The 16300-nt window shown below is 42.9% G+C and overlaps 1 protein-coding gene and 1 long non-coding RNA gene across 5 annotated transcripts in view; one reads left to right on the forward strand and one right to left on the reverse strand.

Moving 5' to 3' along the window:
• Positions 1-16300, reverse strand: part of TRPC7 (transient receptor potential cation channel subfamily C member 7) — a 152801-nt gene that overhangs the window by 55291 nt on the left and 81210 nt on the right. For 2 of the 4 annotated variants that reach the window (NM_001167577.2, NM_020389.3), the window contains one exon: positions 6638-6802. The exons of the other annotated variants lie outside the window; for them this stretch is intronic. In NM_001167577.2, coding sequence (NP_001161049.1) covers positions 6638-6802 — 165 coding nt within the window. The remainder of the gene's footprint in view (positions 1-6637; positions 6803-16300) is intronic. 4 annotated transcript variants of the gene reach the window in all.
• TRPC7-AS2 (TRPC7 antisense RNA 2) overlaps positions 1-16300 on the forward strand; it is an 89446-nt gene that overhangs the window by 41381 nt on the left and 31765 nt on the right. The window lies entirely within an intron of this gene.

Here is a 16300-nt window from a genome sequence, read left to right on the forward strand (position 1 = left end):
AATGTAAGGACAAATAAAACATTTTTATATAAATTCAGTAAAAAACTGAATTAAACCATGTCTCTTTTTTATTTATATGATATTAAATAGCTAGTTTGAAGTTTTTGACATTTTAGCAAATGGTGTTAGCATCTTGGAGCCCCATTTCCCAACCAGGACCTTGGGATATTTTGGCATATCCAGGAGACAGCCTTAGGTAGTCATCACATTGTTTCTTGTCACTGTGTCCTGACTGAGCTGGTGATGAGAGGTGATGGGAGATGGAGAATGACTGCAGGGAGGAGAATAGATGAGGAGAGGGGAGACTGAAGAGAGGGCAAGGGATACCAGGTCTTGTGTATCCCAGCAAGGTTTCAAGAATGTTAGAAAAAGCTGGGGAACTCTGAGATAGACACAGCTCTTAAGGGGTCCATTTTCCCCATCCTTTATCTGTGGTCTCTACCTAATATCTTCAGTGATAATCTGGATGAGGATATGGGGTATACCTCTCCAACTTCTCACCCAGGTGAGGCACCTGATTCCTGGAATTTGTATGTAGCTGCACCCAAGCTGGCTTTGAGTTTCCCCAGAAGACCTGGTTTAAGGAATTTAATATTCGTTTTGTTACCTCCTTCAAGCTGTTATCTTCTAGAAGAAGATGAATCTGCAAAACTTATTATATTTACTATAAACCATAATAAAAAGTCCTGTTAATGCCTTTTGGTGATTTGATGGAAAGTTACCCTGGGCTCAGTTCCCACTTGATCTAGGTCACAGGGAGGAAAAGTGAGGTTGGGAATTGATATTCTTTTCCTATACTTCTGGGTTTGAATGCATCTTTTTATCTGGTAAAACTTTGATAAAGGTCAAATGAGATCCAGTCATTTCAATGGTTTCCTTTTTCTTTATTTGTAAAATTCCCTATTTGACTCACACAGATAATTTTTGAAGTAAATTACCTTTGGGGAAAATTTCCTCCATTTGCAAGGCCATCAGATGAGCCAAAAGAAAGGAGAAAAGTCAACCAATATATGCTAGCAGCTCTTAGCTGCAGAATCGTTAAAGCTGGGTCAGGTATCAGCGTTAGGTGTAAAAAGAGATGAAGATGTGGGCCTTAGCCTGCTGTGCCTGGAGTGCAGAACTGAGAAGCCCAAAAAATGTGGGCTAAAGCAGTTCAGTCATTACTAGGACCTTATGAGCTGAGAACACATCAGGAAATTAAAGCTTGTAGAACTGAAGTCTCTGGCTCACCCGAAGCTTCCTGGCCACTATTCTTTGGCTCTGAGAAATATATGAATGTCAAAGCAACTGAAGAGTGCCCCTGAATTGGCTCCAAGAAAATTGCCTTCATGGACCTTTGGGGTGGGCACCTGCGTTTACTGGTCAGCACCAACTCTGTGTTCCATGCCACTGGGCTCTTAGCCCCCACAAGTGTAAGCACCTAAGCGGTACCTGGATGTGTGAGTCCCCACATCCCAGAAATATAGCCCTGTGGCTGTGATTGTGGTAGATCACTCAGAAAAGGTTTCCAGCATCTTCCTAATCTTTTATGACAGAGTCTCCTTCGCCAAATGCCACTCTCGCTTTCCACTGGGTGCCATGGTCTTAAGCAAGGGCCTGGTTTACAAGTTAGAAACTGAGTGAAAGTAAACTTGGATTAATCATTCCCAAAAGAATCATGCACAGCTTCGGGGTTGGGTGATTCTCAAATGTTAGCGAGATCCTGGTTAAATTAGAGGCAGATCCTCAAGATGCTCCCCCTGAAACTCTTATTCAAAATGTCTAACATAGGGCTCAGGATTTTTCCCTTTTATGATGGGGTGGGATAGTGGTGGTGTTACTGGGTGCCTGTAATCAGTGTTCTTACATTACAATGTCAATCTACACATTGTAACGACTTGATATTTCTCCACACATTTCAATGTGAATCCACACTTTGTCCTGGGGGCTGAAGAGGGATTTACAAAGCAGGACTCCGATGAAAGAAAAGGAAGGGACAGAGTTTGTCATCTGGTTGTTTTGACTTCTTTCTAAAAAAGTCCTACCAACTTTTAAGATCTAAATCAAGTCCATTTCAAGGTCGGTTAGTCAGCAGCTAAGATGTTTATGTTAGGCGTTGAAGGTTGTAATGGTGCTCGTGTAACTAGAGGGATGTGTGTGTGCGCGCACACGTGGGCGGTGCATTTGCATGCAGCCATTAAGTGCAGATCTCTGGAGCCAGAGACTCTAGGTTTAAACCACAGCTTCCTATATTTTTTTAAAAACAAGTTATTTAATCCCTTAGTGTTTCAGTTTCTTCTTTTATAAAATGGGGATAAAAATAGTGCCAACTGCATAGGGTCAATGTAAGCAATGCATTATTTAATACACACAACGCAGTTAGAACAGTGCCTGGTGTATGGGAAGTACTCAATATATGGCACTGGAGGGTCTCAGGGCATTCTCCTAAGTGGAATCTTAAAATAAACTTCACACAAAGGTGGACCCAAACAGAGTCCTTATGTCTTTATGCCACGAGCCTGTTCGGGATATCTCTTATAGACAGCCTGTTGTGCTATCTATATGCAACACGATGCTGGGCACTGGAGGTGAAAGAGATAAAACAAGCTGTAAGAGTTGGATCTTCCCTTCAAAGTTGCTGATTTTCTAGTGTGGAGAGACACAGGCTAAAAAGTGTGATAGGAAATAGATGGAGAGATGGGGAGAAATGTTGCAGGGCTCAGCCTGGGCTAAGTCTGGGCTAAGTCTGAAAGTGATCAGCTTCCGGCACTCTTTAATCCTATCTCAGCAGGGTGACAGGTGCTGGACTAGCCTTTTGGACTTGGGAACAGAAGCATTGGTGACATAAGAGCACCGATGCTGTATTTCCTGACACAAATTTCCTCTCCATGGCTATGCTTCAAAAATTGTGTTGTGATTTTCTTTAATCGAGTGTAGCTCTCTGGTAGAGATAAATGTGGAGAAAAAGAGGTCTCTGGAGGTGCTCTCCTCTCCTGGTTGGCCCCTGAACCACATGGTTTGAGGACCCCTTTCAAGCCATTTCAGCTTTGGTAAGGCAAAGCAGAGATCTTTCAAAGCTGCCCACTCACTCACGCCTTCCTTACTAGATATTCATGTTTGGGATGGTGAAGAGGGGGTACCAACTTTATATTTCTCCGAGCAAGGGTTATGGCAGTAAGGACTGATAGATTGCACACTACAAAGATATAAGGTTGGATTCTAAAGTTGTTTACAGTTCCTCCTGCCTGAGTCCTGGGGTAAATTTTGAAGATAATTGGAACAGTTATAGTTAACAGGTAATAGACAAGGTCAGCTTCTCCTTCCCTGTTATAATTAAAACTGGTGCAGTTCCTCAGCATTTTCATGATGCTGGCTTCTGCCACATCATATAGAGACACTGTTTGAACCTTTGAAGATGACTGTTATTTATTCTTTTGGCTCTGAGATCTTAACAGGCAAACAATCTAACTTACACATCAGAATAGGATAGCAAAGGATGGAAACAGCTTAGGCAGCTATAAAGACCCTTTGACATTGGAGTCCTTGTTGAGAGAATAAAGAACTCTTTAGGCAAACAGAGACCTAACTGCTGTGCATCCATAGGGATTAGAATTCACTGGTCTCCCAGTGGGCTGCCTGAGCTCAACTAAGTTGGTGATGACAATGAGAAATGATAAACAGAATCACTGTTCTTTCTCTTGACCCAGATGAACCTGTCCCATGCTCCAGGCCTGCATTTATCATTATACGTAGCCATCTGTGACTTGGTTATCCTCTTCAACCAACATATTAGTAAGCTGAACTTCTGTTGACACCTTTCACCTTGTAATTTCCTTATTTAACTGTCTTTCTTAGGGACCCTCAGAAACAATATAAAAATAGAATTGACAGCCTTGATAATTCAATAGGAAAGAAATGATGCAGTCATTATGGCTGGCTAATCAAGTAATTTTGATGCTCCTAATAGTCTCTAAATTAGGGCAACAACTATTAGGAAGTAAATGCACCATTGGGTTGGAAACAGAAATCTCAACATTTACTAGACATTGATGGGCATTAGTTAGTTGACGAAGTTTGCAAGTGACATTTTATGAATACATTTATAAAATAATATCAAGGTCTAAGTTTTCAGAAAGAGGTGTAATAATGTCATTAGAATGAGATCTCTGAAATGACATTGTCCTTTTCCTAGAATTACAGATATAGACAGATGTAAAGTCAGTGACCCCTCAGGAGGAGGGCTGCCAGCCCATTAACAGACTTCGCCATTGCCCTCCTTTTGGGAAGACATGGTTTTTCTGGGCATCAGGAACCCTTAGAGGGGCTGGTTTTGTCACATGGCAGATGTGACCTCTCTGTAATTCCCAGTAATATCTCTGCCAAAGTTGAAAAGATTTCTTTCTAAATGGTGAAAGGAAAGACTAAAAATATCTTGACTGTTTTATCTGTCCTTTGGCTGCCTCAGAGCAAGTTCAACAGCTCTTTAATGAGGGAATCTTTGCTTGTAATGAGCAGTGCCACCAAGAGTCATCTCATGCCACAGACTGAGTTATCGACATGCCCTCTACTGCACTGAGCTCAGACTTGGAATCTAGAAAGTCACAGAAGTGACAAGTGGCTTAATGATCAGTTCATGTCTATCTTGAGTTTCTTTTTTCTTTTTTTAGTCTTAATGGAACTTCTGGGGGCACCAAATGTCAATCACATGAGTATCTAAACAGAGGTGAGGAAACCCCTGTTATGGACCAAACTTCCCTGCAACTGTTTCCTCCAGAGTGTTCCAGAAAACTGCCATAGGTCTGACCCCTACATCCCAGGTGCTATTACCTTCCTGGATTTACTAGGCCCAAGAAATTCTAGAAATCCCTCTCTGCAACCACACACTTTTTAATGGGATCACATCTGCATATGTACCAAGATTCCTCTCAGAGCTACCAGAAATCTAAACAATTTAGTCAGCAACTACTCTTTCTGAGTCTTTTCCCAGGCCACTAGGCACTCAGAGGCAAGCCAGTTTGCTCCTGTTGGCAAGTCCCAGGTTCCTGGAAGCTGTCACATTTAGCTTTGCAGCAAAAGTGAGGATTGGCAGCGCTTTCTCCACAAAGTTGCTGTTATTTTAATGATCGAACAGCCTAGAATTTGTTCTGGGGCTCAGAGAAAGTGAAGTTAAGTGTCCCTACTCACTGGGGCTCTGGGTGAAGGCAACTTACAGTACAGACTGTGCCTAAAACCCATGACCAGCTTCAAGCCAGCTTTAAATCTGGTTAGTTTTTTCACCCACTGTGTTTTTTCAGCTCATAATGAAGGACAGAAAAAAATTGCCTTTACCTACATATATATTACTTGGGAAATTCTGATCTGAAAGTGCCTGGCATGATAAACTGCCATAGAAGCAAAATCCTCAATAGATGTAAGGTTGAATACTGTAAAAGTTCAGTAAGAGGGCTTCCATTCTTAATACTACTCTCCGGAAGAAGGATTTGGGGACTTGACCTCTCTCTGTGACCCTGTACCTACTGTGAGGCAGTCAGTTCATTGACTGTCTGGTTAGGTGGCCTCACCAGCAGCCCCGAAGTCTCGCAGCTGTCATTCTGGTATGAGTTACTCCTAAGTGGAGTTGACAAGAGGGTTGGTTCACTGGTGACACTTTTATTAACCACATTACCTGATCAAATTGCCTATGGAACTAATCTCCCTGTAGTCATATTTCTCCTACTGAATGTTGATTACCTAAGCTTAATTCCTTTTTAAATGTATCACTAGGTAAATGCAGCTTTGGAACCTTTAGTGACAATCTTAAACCCATGAAACATACTTCAAAATTTCTGCATGGTTTGGTCTTAAAAGCACTGACTCTTCCCCGAAGCTGGAGTGCTGTTACTTTCTACGGCTTTGACTCATGTGACTGGGATGTGGGGATGGTGGAGCCGCTAGTAGGGCAGCTTGGCACCTGCAGTTTCCACTCCTTCCATCACTGGTGGGCACTGGACACTCCCCCTCAGGGAAATAACACTCCTTTTGAGCTCTTCTTCTCTTTCCTTTGCCTTTTTCCTTCCTGCAACCTAATTAGCTGCCCATGTGAGCCAGAACCTCATCGAAGGGGCCAGGAAAACTAGGAAGATGTTGCAATGTGTCTGCAGTGCCCCAGCATGAGCTGTGTTTGACTCCCAGCCTACTAGTTATTTCTCTTTTCTGGACCTACTTCATAAAGCATACATGTCATAATGTAATTGAGGCTGTGAAATGAGATATTCCATGAAAAGGGCTTAGAGAAGAGAAACTACTCAAATGTTAGCTATTACTATTACCATGATTCTAATTATTATACTGTGGGTTTGGAGGACATGCTTAGGACATTGCATAATTAGAAGAAGAAAAGTGTCTTTATTCTCAATTCTGTTACTGATCTTTTCAAATTATGCCTCTCGTGTTTAAAATTTTATTGCTCCTCTCTCTCTTTGAAAAAAAAAAGATTTAAAAAAGCACGTCTTAACATTTTTCCTTTTATGTGGTTTCCTACTTTCACCGGGTATCTCAGGAATATTTTCTTTAAATATGGGAAAAAATCAGCTGCTAATTTGAACAAAATGGATTTCAGATCATGCTAAGAAGAGAGAAGAAATAACCGCAAACGACATGCACCTTAAGCAGTCTGTACCTTGCTGCACGGAGCAATCCAATAGGCTATGGCGAGAAAAGGGAGGCCTATGGAGACTCCAAAGACAGCCAGGAATTTCACAGCGATAGACTGTTGACGTAAGCCTGAGAGATTTTCATACCACATGGTAAGCAATTGCTGCTGACAGTTAGGATGAGCAACGAACTGTAAAAACAAAACAAAAACAAAAACAAAACGCAAACAGGAAAATGGCATTGATAGCACTTGAACAGTATACAACCTAGGAGTAGCTGGGGGCTGAAATGCTCCACCTGGGGGGTGGTTGAGGAACCTGCAGTGGGTGGGGATGAGGCGTAGGAAGGGGGCCTTCTGACTTGGGGATGCTAAGGAACTTTGTGCTGTGGCCAGAGTCCTTGCAAGACTGGCTGAATTCACACTTTGCAAACTGGGCCTAGAAAAGTCTAAGGCACAGAAAATGGAAGTCAGCTTTTCGGTACATGCTTGTCTTCAATTCAGGCTGTTCAGCTGATCAAGGGAGACTTATCTCTGGGCAGAGTTCACTTGGGAAGGAACACAGAGGAATGGATGGAGCATGAATGGGGTTTTGGAGTCAGACATGGGTGTGAATTTTGTTCTACCCCCTACTAGTTGGGTGACCTTGGGACAGTTACTTAACCTCTCTGAGCTTTAATATTCTTATCTGCAAAACAGAGCTTATCACATTGTCTTGGAGGATTAAATGACATTGTAAAAAAAAAAAAAATCCCCTCTCTTTACCTATGTAGTCTAAGGAAAAATGCTTACAGTGTTTCCAGAGGATGTGTTAAAACTCCTCAATATTTTCTCACTGGATCCCAGTGGTGTTGGGCTTGAATCCAGTTTTTTTGTGGCGTGATGGAGCACCACCACACTGGATCCTCCACGGAGTAGCTTCCTTCTGGGACATCACACACCCTTCTTACCACTACTTCTCTCTCTTGGAACTGTTCTGCCCTAATGCTTAGGTTACAAGACAGACCTCTTGTGGCCATTTTCTATTGTGTGGCCATGTCCTGCCCTCACCCCTGGATTCAGCTTATTGGACTAGGAGTGGAACCCTGACCTAAACTGGGCCTATCAGATTTTCTTTCCTGCGTGTTTAGGACTATGTTGAGAGAGGCAGTCTATTTATTTAGTAGAGAGTTAATATGTAACCTTGGACAATCTGGGTAGCTATCTTCCACTTTATGGACTAAGTAGCAAAACAAGTCTGTTGAAAGCAGAAAGAGAATGGTGTGCAGAAAGAGGCTGAGCTAGTGTTTGACCTCTTTAGGGCCCAGCTCCACTCTACCCATGTGGTCCATGAGACACTTTTATATTCATAAACAAAATGTTTTGTTTTTTGCTTGATCCAGCATATTGGCTTTAGTTGTTGCTACCAGAACATCCCTTTTCTGCAAATAGTAGTTGCTGCTTGGCCATTTTTTAGTTGACTCAGGGTCAACTGGAAACTGGTAATAGGCAATATTTAAGCAAAATTTATGGGAATAAAGTTTACATTTGAAAAAAAATATACTCGTTAGCTTATTTTTTTCCCCATGACAGGAGGAAGCCATTGTTTGCTTTTGACAGGTCTGCCCTTTGGCCCCACTCAGGATACCCATGTGCTTCCAGAGCATGGCTGGACACTATGGACTAGAGAAGATAGACTGGGCATTTTTCAAAGGGACAACTTATCAACTGAGTACCCTGGAACGTCATGTGCTGATTTTCATCTCATTTGCCTCACTGAGTATTAAGGGGACATATACAACGATTCCTGGGAAATGTGAAACATTCCCTTTTCATTACAAAAGCAATATAAATAGAGCTATTTTAAAATTCACAATGTAAGTGACAACATGTTTCCCATTTCTGTGAACTCACGGTAACTCACAGTAACAGCCAAACTATCTTTGAGGACATTACCAAAGGTTTCTTTGACCCTACAGCCCCTGACAATACCATTACTTGAAATATTAGATGCAAATGAGGCTTTTCTTTGTAGCATTACTGGCTTTTCTTTGTGGCATTACTGCTATGCTTTCTTCTAAGAATAGCAATGGATTATCCTCAGCCCAGGGAGGAACCCCCAGGCTGCAGGTCATAAGACATCCTGGGCCCTTTCTGGCTCACAATGAAGAGGAGCAAGCAATGGAAAGTCATGCAGACATTTCTGTAATTCTCAGGGTCTAGTCATAGCACAGTCTCAGAGGGAGTGGTGGGTGAGCATGGGGTGCAGTCACTTTTGTTTTTCAACTGCCAGCCTTCTGTGGATACTGAAATGGCCCTGCTTTGCAGAAACTCGTAGTCTGATTAGAAGACGCGACACATGCTGTGAAATAGAAGACGAGTATTTGACTCACCCTATGGCTCCCTGCACTACTGCTGCCTGGGAAGGATGCCTGTCACAATCCCCATCATTTGCTTCTTGTCTGTATCTAGGAGAGCCTCTCCCATGCTTCTGCTGCTGCCTCTTGGCAGACAGGTCAGCACCGCAGATTGGGCAGAAGGCCAGAAGAGCAGAAGCTCTGAGAGAGAACACAGTGGTGACTATTCCCCACTCTCCCTTGCTTGCCTCAGAGGAAGACAGTGGTCCCAGCTAAAACAGAGGGGTCTCTTGGGGCTCTGTCTTCCTCTGATTGGACCTTTGCTAATCTCCACAGCTGCATTTATCTCTATAATAAAGCAACCTAGCTTCAGACATGCTGTTTATTTGTAGATAGACTTTATGATGTAATAAGATATCAGCTGTGGATAGCTGAAGCCCAAATTGGTGTTTACCTCTATCTGGGAACCTTTCTGCACTTGTGGCAGCCCTTCAAAGACAGTTCAATGTGTATCAAAAGATTTTTTTCCCATGTGATTTTGAAGCATGAAAAAATATCATCCCTGACCCAAGGAGGATGAGAGTAGCAAATGAAGCACACCAACAGGACACAAAGAAAACTCTACCCAAAAGGGCACACAGCTAAGGAACAAAGGCAGGAAGAACTCGGGGTGTGACCAGGATTTTCAAAAGCGGGGTCAGAGAGGAACTGATGGAAGAAAAGCTTATAGCTAGAATAGAATAGGAACTCAGAAAATTGGTGTTGTCTTGGGCTTATTTTCTTTGGCATCTTGCTCACAAAAGGATAGAATGATCAAAGGATGGATGTCACCAAGAGCTAAGCCTAGGCCATTCCTGCCCAGAACATGGCACACTTTTAGGAAAATTCTTGAAGGGAAGAACTGATGTGACTGCCTAGATTTTCCCAGCGACATGATTCATATTCATCATAGTAGGCAGTTTGTAATGGCTGGAGCGGAGAATCTGTGAAGGAGTTTACATGGGGCTGAGCAGGCTCTTAAGAGAAAATAAATCAAACTACATCTGTAACTGAGATGGACTGTCCAAGGACCTGGGTGAGGGAGGGACTGGAGAGGAGTTGGCCTGCAGGGAGAGATAGGAGGGGACACTGAGACAGAATTCTCTGGAATGGAAAGGCTGACTCTGCCCCACTCAGGTGACAGTCTCTCTTTCTTTTCTCTCAAGTAATTCTTAGTCACTCCCTTTAATTGTAGTTATAGTTCTGCATGATCCCCTGCTGGAGAGGAAACTCCTCCTGGAGGGCTCCTGTGGTCTTTAGCGTGGTGTTCACGAATGGGCACTGTTTGAGTAAATGGCATGGCCAGAGTTCTCTGCTTTCAAATTGCAAATCTGGTGCCATCCACAGGACCAAAGTTGCCTTCCTTCCTCATTGCCCCTGTGAGGTGGCTGACTCCCTGCACTTCTGCATGTCACCACATCTGGAAGAGGCCTGTGGGTACCAAAGGCTGAAAGTGGTTTGCTAGGAGACATGATGAACAGATAAATGATTGAATTCATGTCTGCTGAATTTATTTTCACTGTAGAAGTGCCAGGAGATTAAGAAACAACAACAACTTCCTTAATTCCCAAAGGCAGTTGAGCTAGGGGTTTAAAGAGATGGACCAGGAAAAAATTCATACCATCATCTGGAGGGGATGCCCCAAGAAAAGAGCCAAGGAGGGAGGCAGGGATTGGAACTAAGCTCAAGGGGATTTTGGGCTACAACTTGGGGTTATTTCATATGCCCTGCCTAGGCACACCACCCCACTCACCTTTTTGCAGCACTGCCTTCAAAATTTCCCATTTTTTGACCACCTGAGCATCTGTCACATAGCTCCTTCATTGCTTGGAGATTCTATCTGGATGCCTCTATAGACGTCTGACACTCGATTCTACCCTCCCCTGACTCGTCTTCCACTTGTGCATCCCTGATCCCAGCTAACTCTGGAATGCTTCTTGGTTATTTCTACAGCTGGGGGTTCTGCCAAGCAGTTGCGAACTGAGCCTTCCTGGAAGTCTACCGGGCAGCAAAAGGAGATGGGCCTCTCTGCAGGCTCTTCATTCCCACGGATATTCAATATCAACTCTTACGTTAGGTCTCTTGTGCCATTGTTCTCAAAGAGAGCTCTCTGTTCCTGTATGCCAAGGACAGCAGGACACAAAAATACTCTCTGCCACCTCTCTTTAAACAAACCTCCAGTTTTCTAGACCAAGAGAGATTACTTACACAAATGACCTTAATTGTTGGGTTGCTCTGAGAACTGTGCCTGTGACTCAGCAGCATCTCTCTGACCAGAGAATGGTTTTTTGATGAAGAAAGTCCTTAATGAACCAACCTATGTCTCAGTCTCAGGGTGCAGGCACCAAAACAAAGGGTGCTGGACTTCTTCCAGAGCTGGAGGCAAGCCATTTCCTGAGTGCGGGGGTGAAGGCAGGAGCTGTGGCGGGGCTTTCTGGAGGCGGAAGCATTTTCCCCCAGTCACCAGAAGTCCTCTCAGAGCAGAGAGCTCAGAGGGTGCTGATGTGACTGGGTTTCCAGTCTGGTTATGTTGTCATGGCCAGAGTCCCATGGAAGGCTGAGTCAGCTTCCAGCTCGCTCCAAATGACTGCCTCTACCCTTTCACAGTATCACAAAGAGGCCACCCTCCATACCTGGCAGCAACTCTCTCCACCCCACTGGAGGCTATGCCCTAACCTGAAATCAAAGAAGTGGAAGCTATTTCCAGCAAGTTTTCTTGGATTATTTTCAACTCCTCCCCTTCCTGAGCCTTACCATCTAACCACGTTGCTCTACATGCTGTTTCCAAACCTGGCATATGTAGCCACCCCCTGTCTATGTTCAAAGAAGGTCCATCCTGCTCTTCTCTGGTTTAACACCTCAGCAGCCTTCAAGACCCAACTTCCCCTTTGGGAGGCCAAGGTGGGTGGATCACTTGAGGTCAGGAATTCAAGACCAGCCTGGCCAACATGGTGAAACCCCATCTCTACTGAAAAAAAAAAATACAAAAATTAGCTGGGCATGGTGGCTGGTGCCTGTAATCCCAGCTACTTGGAAGGCTGAGGCAGGAGAATTGCTTGAACCTGGGAAGCAGAGGCTGCAGTGAGCCGAGATTGCACCACTGCTCTCCAACCTGGGCGATGGATCAAGACTCTGTCAAAAACAAACAAACAAACAAACAAAAAACACCCAACTTCCTGTCTACCTCCAAGTCCCACCAAGTTCCTCAGCCCCCAAAGACATCTTGGACACCTATGGGTCTTATTCTGTAACCCACTCACTTGGCAATCATGTGTCATAGGTCAAGTTGTGGATAGACATACTCTTGTGACCACATTTGATCTTTTCTGTTATTTTTAATCTTCTTGAAGGAACCAACTGTCTAGGTATCTCCAAGAATGTGCAGCCTTATGTTTTCCATGTAATAGGTGCTCAATAAACTTCTGTTGAGTGATTGATAAACTGAGGGTTTTGAATCCCCTAAGATTTTCTCCATGATTTTCTCATCATCCCAGAATAATTTCTAAATGTAACAAATCCTGTTACTCAGGGCCTGATGAATGCTTAAGTGTCTTCACATCTTTACTAAAAGGCAGACAGGAAGAGGGGATAAAAGCTAAACCAGGTACTCATCTTCTTGTGTAGGAAAATATTGAAATATGAGTCCAAAATAAGGTTTGAGGATTATCTCTTGGATTAGATGAGGATTATTTAATTTTTATGTGTGCCATGTACCATGTAAACTGACATCAATTCAGAAAGTATTTATTTAATAATAAGGAATCACTAATATTTGTTGAGCACTATTCTGTGTCAGGTCCTGTGCTTACCTGTCATTTTATTATTTAACCCTCACATCAGTTCTTTAAGGTGGGGTTGGTAAATCTCTGTTTTAAATATGGAGGCATTAGACACAGAGAGATTAAGTAACTTGTCTACCATCAGTCACAAAAGTGATTATGACGACAGGGCCTGGACTGGAACCCAGGCCAGTTTGACATCAAAGATAGCATTTTGAACTATATTTACCCTATATTTCCTCAAGGTAGATTTAAAATCAGACCGAAACACCAAAGCACAAGGGATTATGGTGATTTTTCCATTTCCCCAAAGACCAGGGGACTCAACATTCGAGATGCTGCTAGAACTCTTATCTCTCTCTGCCCTTCTGCCTATTCATCAGCCAAGTCTCTGTAGAGATAAAAATCAGAAATACACAAGAAGGGCTTGAAGCCCCTTTTCTTGATAACTTCATCCTGTTAAGGATAACATCCTGGGCTCTGTCTTCTACATATAGAGAAGAATAGAAGCAGCTGATTCCATGATGGCTCAAGTGCCTGATCACTTCTTTGCCAGGACCCAGGTTAATGTGGAGGCCACCCAAACTCAGACTTATAGCCTTGAAAAGTGCAGACTCCATTTAAACAATCACTTTGCTGAAGGACCTAATTAGCATTTCAAGTCCCATGAGAAAATCCTACCTGACACTGATATCTTACTAGGAAGAGCAGCAGTTCCCTGAGCCTGAGTTCTGACTGGATAATGTTACCAAGTTGGTTCTGCAACTCTGCAGGCCTTGCTGGTGGCTGTGCTGTGCCTTGGTTGCAAACATTCATGGGGTTGGGAACATGCACAGGCTCTGGGTCAGCCTGCCCACGTGTCAATACAAGCTCCACCACTGATTGGTGAGGAACTGAGTAGCCTAATTCGTTAGGTCTCAATTTCTCTACTTATGGAATGTCCATAATGATGACTAACTCAAGGGAGGTTTCAAGGGTTTAGAAAATACAGTTCCAGTTTTTGGTTTACGGTGCAATTTTTAAACCTCAGCAAACTTCTGTTTACCAACATATTGCTTTTTGACTGGTATAATATTTCTGAAATACAAACCACTTATATCATGCATCAAATTTTTAATCAACCAAAGATGTGCTCACTTACGGAGTATTCATCCACTTTCTATGGCTCTAAAGTAGAGAAACTTGATTATCATTAAAAGCAGTTTTTCTTGCATGAATAATTCTTACTCTAGTTCAGAAACTTTATCAACAAGTAGAACATACATCCAAAGGTATTAATATTGATACAAGAAATCTGCATGGGATTCTGTATCTATAATTAAATGAAAAAAGACAGAGTGGGAATGCTTTCTTTAAATATAAACCACAGTGTCTGACCAGTACAAAAATTGTCATCCTAGGTTGATGGAACTGGGATGGGGTGTGGTGGTCATACATTTTTCAAAGAGATTCCCTCATATTATCAAATAAAATATTAGGTCAGGGCAGGCTGATGAAGGAATCAGAGGGAACTATCTGTAGCTTACTTAGAACGATCCCTTTATGATTCTAAATTTTCTAAATTTCTCTTTCAGAGAAATGCGAATATAACTCAGTAATGAGTTATTTACTTCTCAAAATCACATTTTGTATTTTATTTTTACATAATTATTTTAAAATGACACTTTAAAATTCAGTCTATCTCCTGTAAATTTATATGATAATGCTGATGTAGGTGTAACATCTATATTGCCCATATTTTATTTTTACTTGATGCTTTTATTTGTATATTGTTTTATACTCAAAATATGCTCAAGATTTAGGGTCACTAATTTTAAATTTTAACCTTTGAATTCTTAAAGTTATAAATATTCTTAATACCAGTATTTTGATATTGTGAGACATAAATGTGAAATAAGGGCATAGTCATTGATTCAATCATTAGAAATAACATGTGTGTAACCCAGATGTTCCAGGTCTTGGCAGCTGGTGAGCACAAACCTAGTACCATTGGCAGACAGTGATCCATCCATCCACCAGACATGTATTAAATGCCTATTGTTACCAGGTACCAAGAACTTTTAGGAATGGAGGACACAGTGAACAAGATGGCCATGGTCCCTGCCCTTGGGAAGCCTGATAATTCCTTAATCTTGATGGTTCTGAGTCTTTCCAGGCTGGACGACAGGGGATTGTTTCATGATAGCCTCCTATGTATTCCTACTCAAGTCATTCTACCTGTCACTCAGTGTGCCAAGTGCAGGACATCAGCTCCTTCCTCCTCCCTCCCTGAATGAGCCCCAGGCAGGGCCAGGCCAGTTGCTGGGACACATGCTGTGGTATGACCAGTTTTCTGCCCTCTGCTGTGTCCTCAGGGGCGAACTTTCTTCTGCAGTTCTGTTGATGTGCCAGCGGGGCCCACATGGTGCTGGGTGCTGGGTTCCTTTGGACCTTGATGCCTCCTTGGTGTGTGGGGTGTCTGCTTTCTTTGCAAAGGCAGTTGCTTGCTTTCCATTGCTCCTATCTCACTTGCTCTCCGTTGCTCCTGTCTCTAGATGTCCATCTATTTTCCCCAGAAATGCCTGTCTCTTCTCATGCCCATCTTTTCTAAAAGGGCAGTCCCCCAGCAGAGTTGCTGGAAGTGAAACCCAGAGTGAAGTAATGCCTTCCATTGTTCCACAGATTCTCTTTCCCAGGCTCCAGGCCTGCATGAGTCCACTTCTGATAATTCTAAGACGAGAATTACTTGTCATAGTTAATTTTACCTCCATCTGAGTATGAGTTAGCCTCCCACTAAGGCAGGATAAAGAGAGGTGTAAAATCCTGAATGAGATCCTTAGCTCCCTGCACATAGCTCATCTTGGTTTGTGAGAAAGGAGGTGAAAAGGGTCTGAGGACCACCTCATACTGAGCTTAGAAACCTTGCTCATGACTCACACTTAGGTCTTGACCAGATTTCTTACTTCTGGGAATTTTCAACCTTATTTCCTGCCCTTTCATTTCCCAGCATCAACCTGACCAACAAAGACCCATGTAGACAGAGTTCTAGTTCTTTTTCATGTGATTCTGGGCCTTATGCAAACAATGGGGTGTGCCTATCAATGGACATCTACTCTCCTCCAACAAACACTGTAACTCTTCACATGTAGAGTGCACAGAGCACTTTTAAAGGGCATCTCCTAATTCCATTTATCACCCTGCCCACTCCTACCCTCAAATACTTCTGTCCTCTTGGTGCTATCTGTGCCTACTCTGCCATCCAAGGCTTCAGTTTGGACAACTTCAATTGCTGTCTGCACTTATCCAAGAAATGTGGAAATTCATCATACCCCAAAACTGGGAAACATTATTTCTGGTAAAAGGCATGTTTTGGTCATACAGGAGACCTCTGATTGCCTATTCTCAGATGTCAGATGAGGATATGAATATTCAGCATTCAACGGTAAGGTACCCTGGGCACTTGTGTTTGTTTTTTGCTCCCTTTGTCATCAGGGGCCAACCCCCACACCATGATATGTGTGTATGTGCACACGTGTGTGTGTATATTCACACATGTA

This window comes from Homo sapiens, chromosome 5, assembly GCF_000001405.40.
Source record: "Homo sapiens chromosome 5, GRCh38.p14 Primary Assembly".
Taxonomy (NCBI): domain Eukaryota; kingdom Metazoa; phylum Chordata; class Mammalia; order Primates; family Hominidae; genus Homo; species Homo sapiens.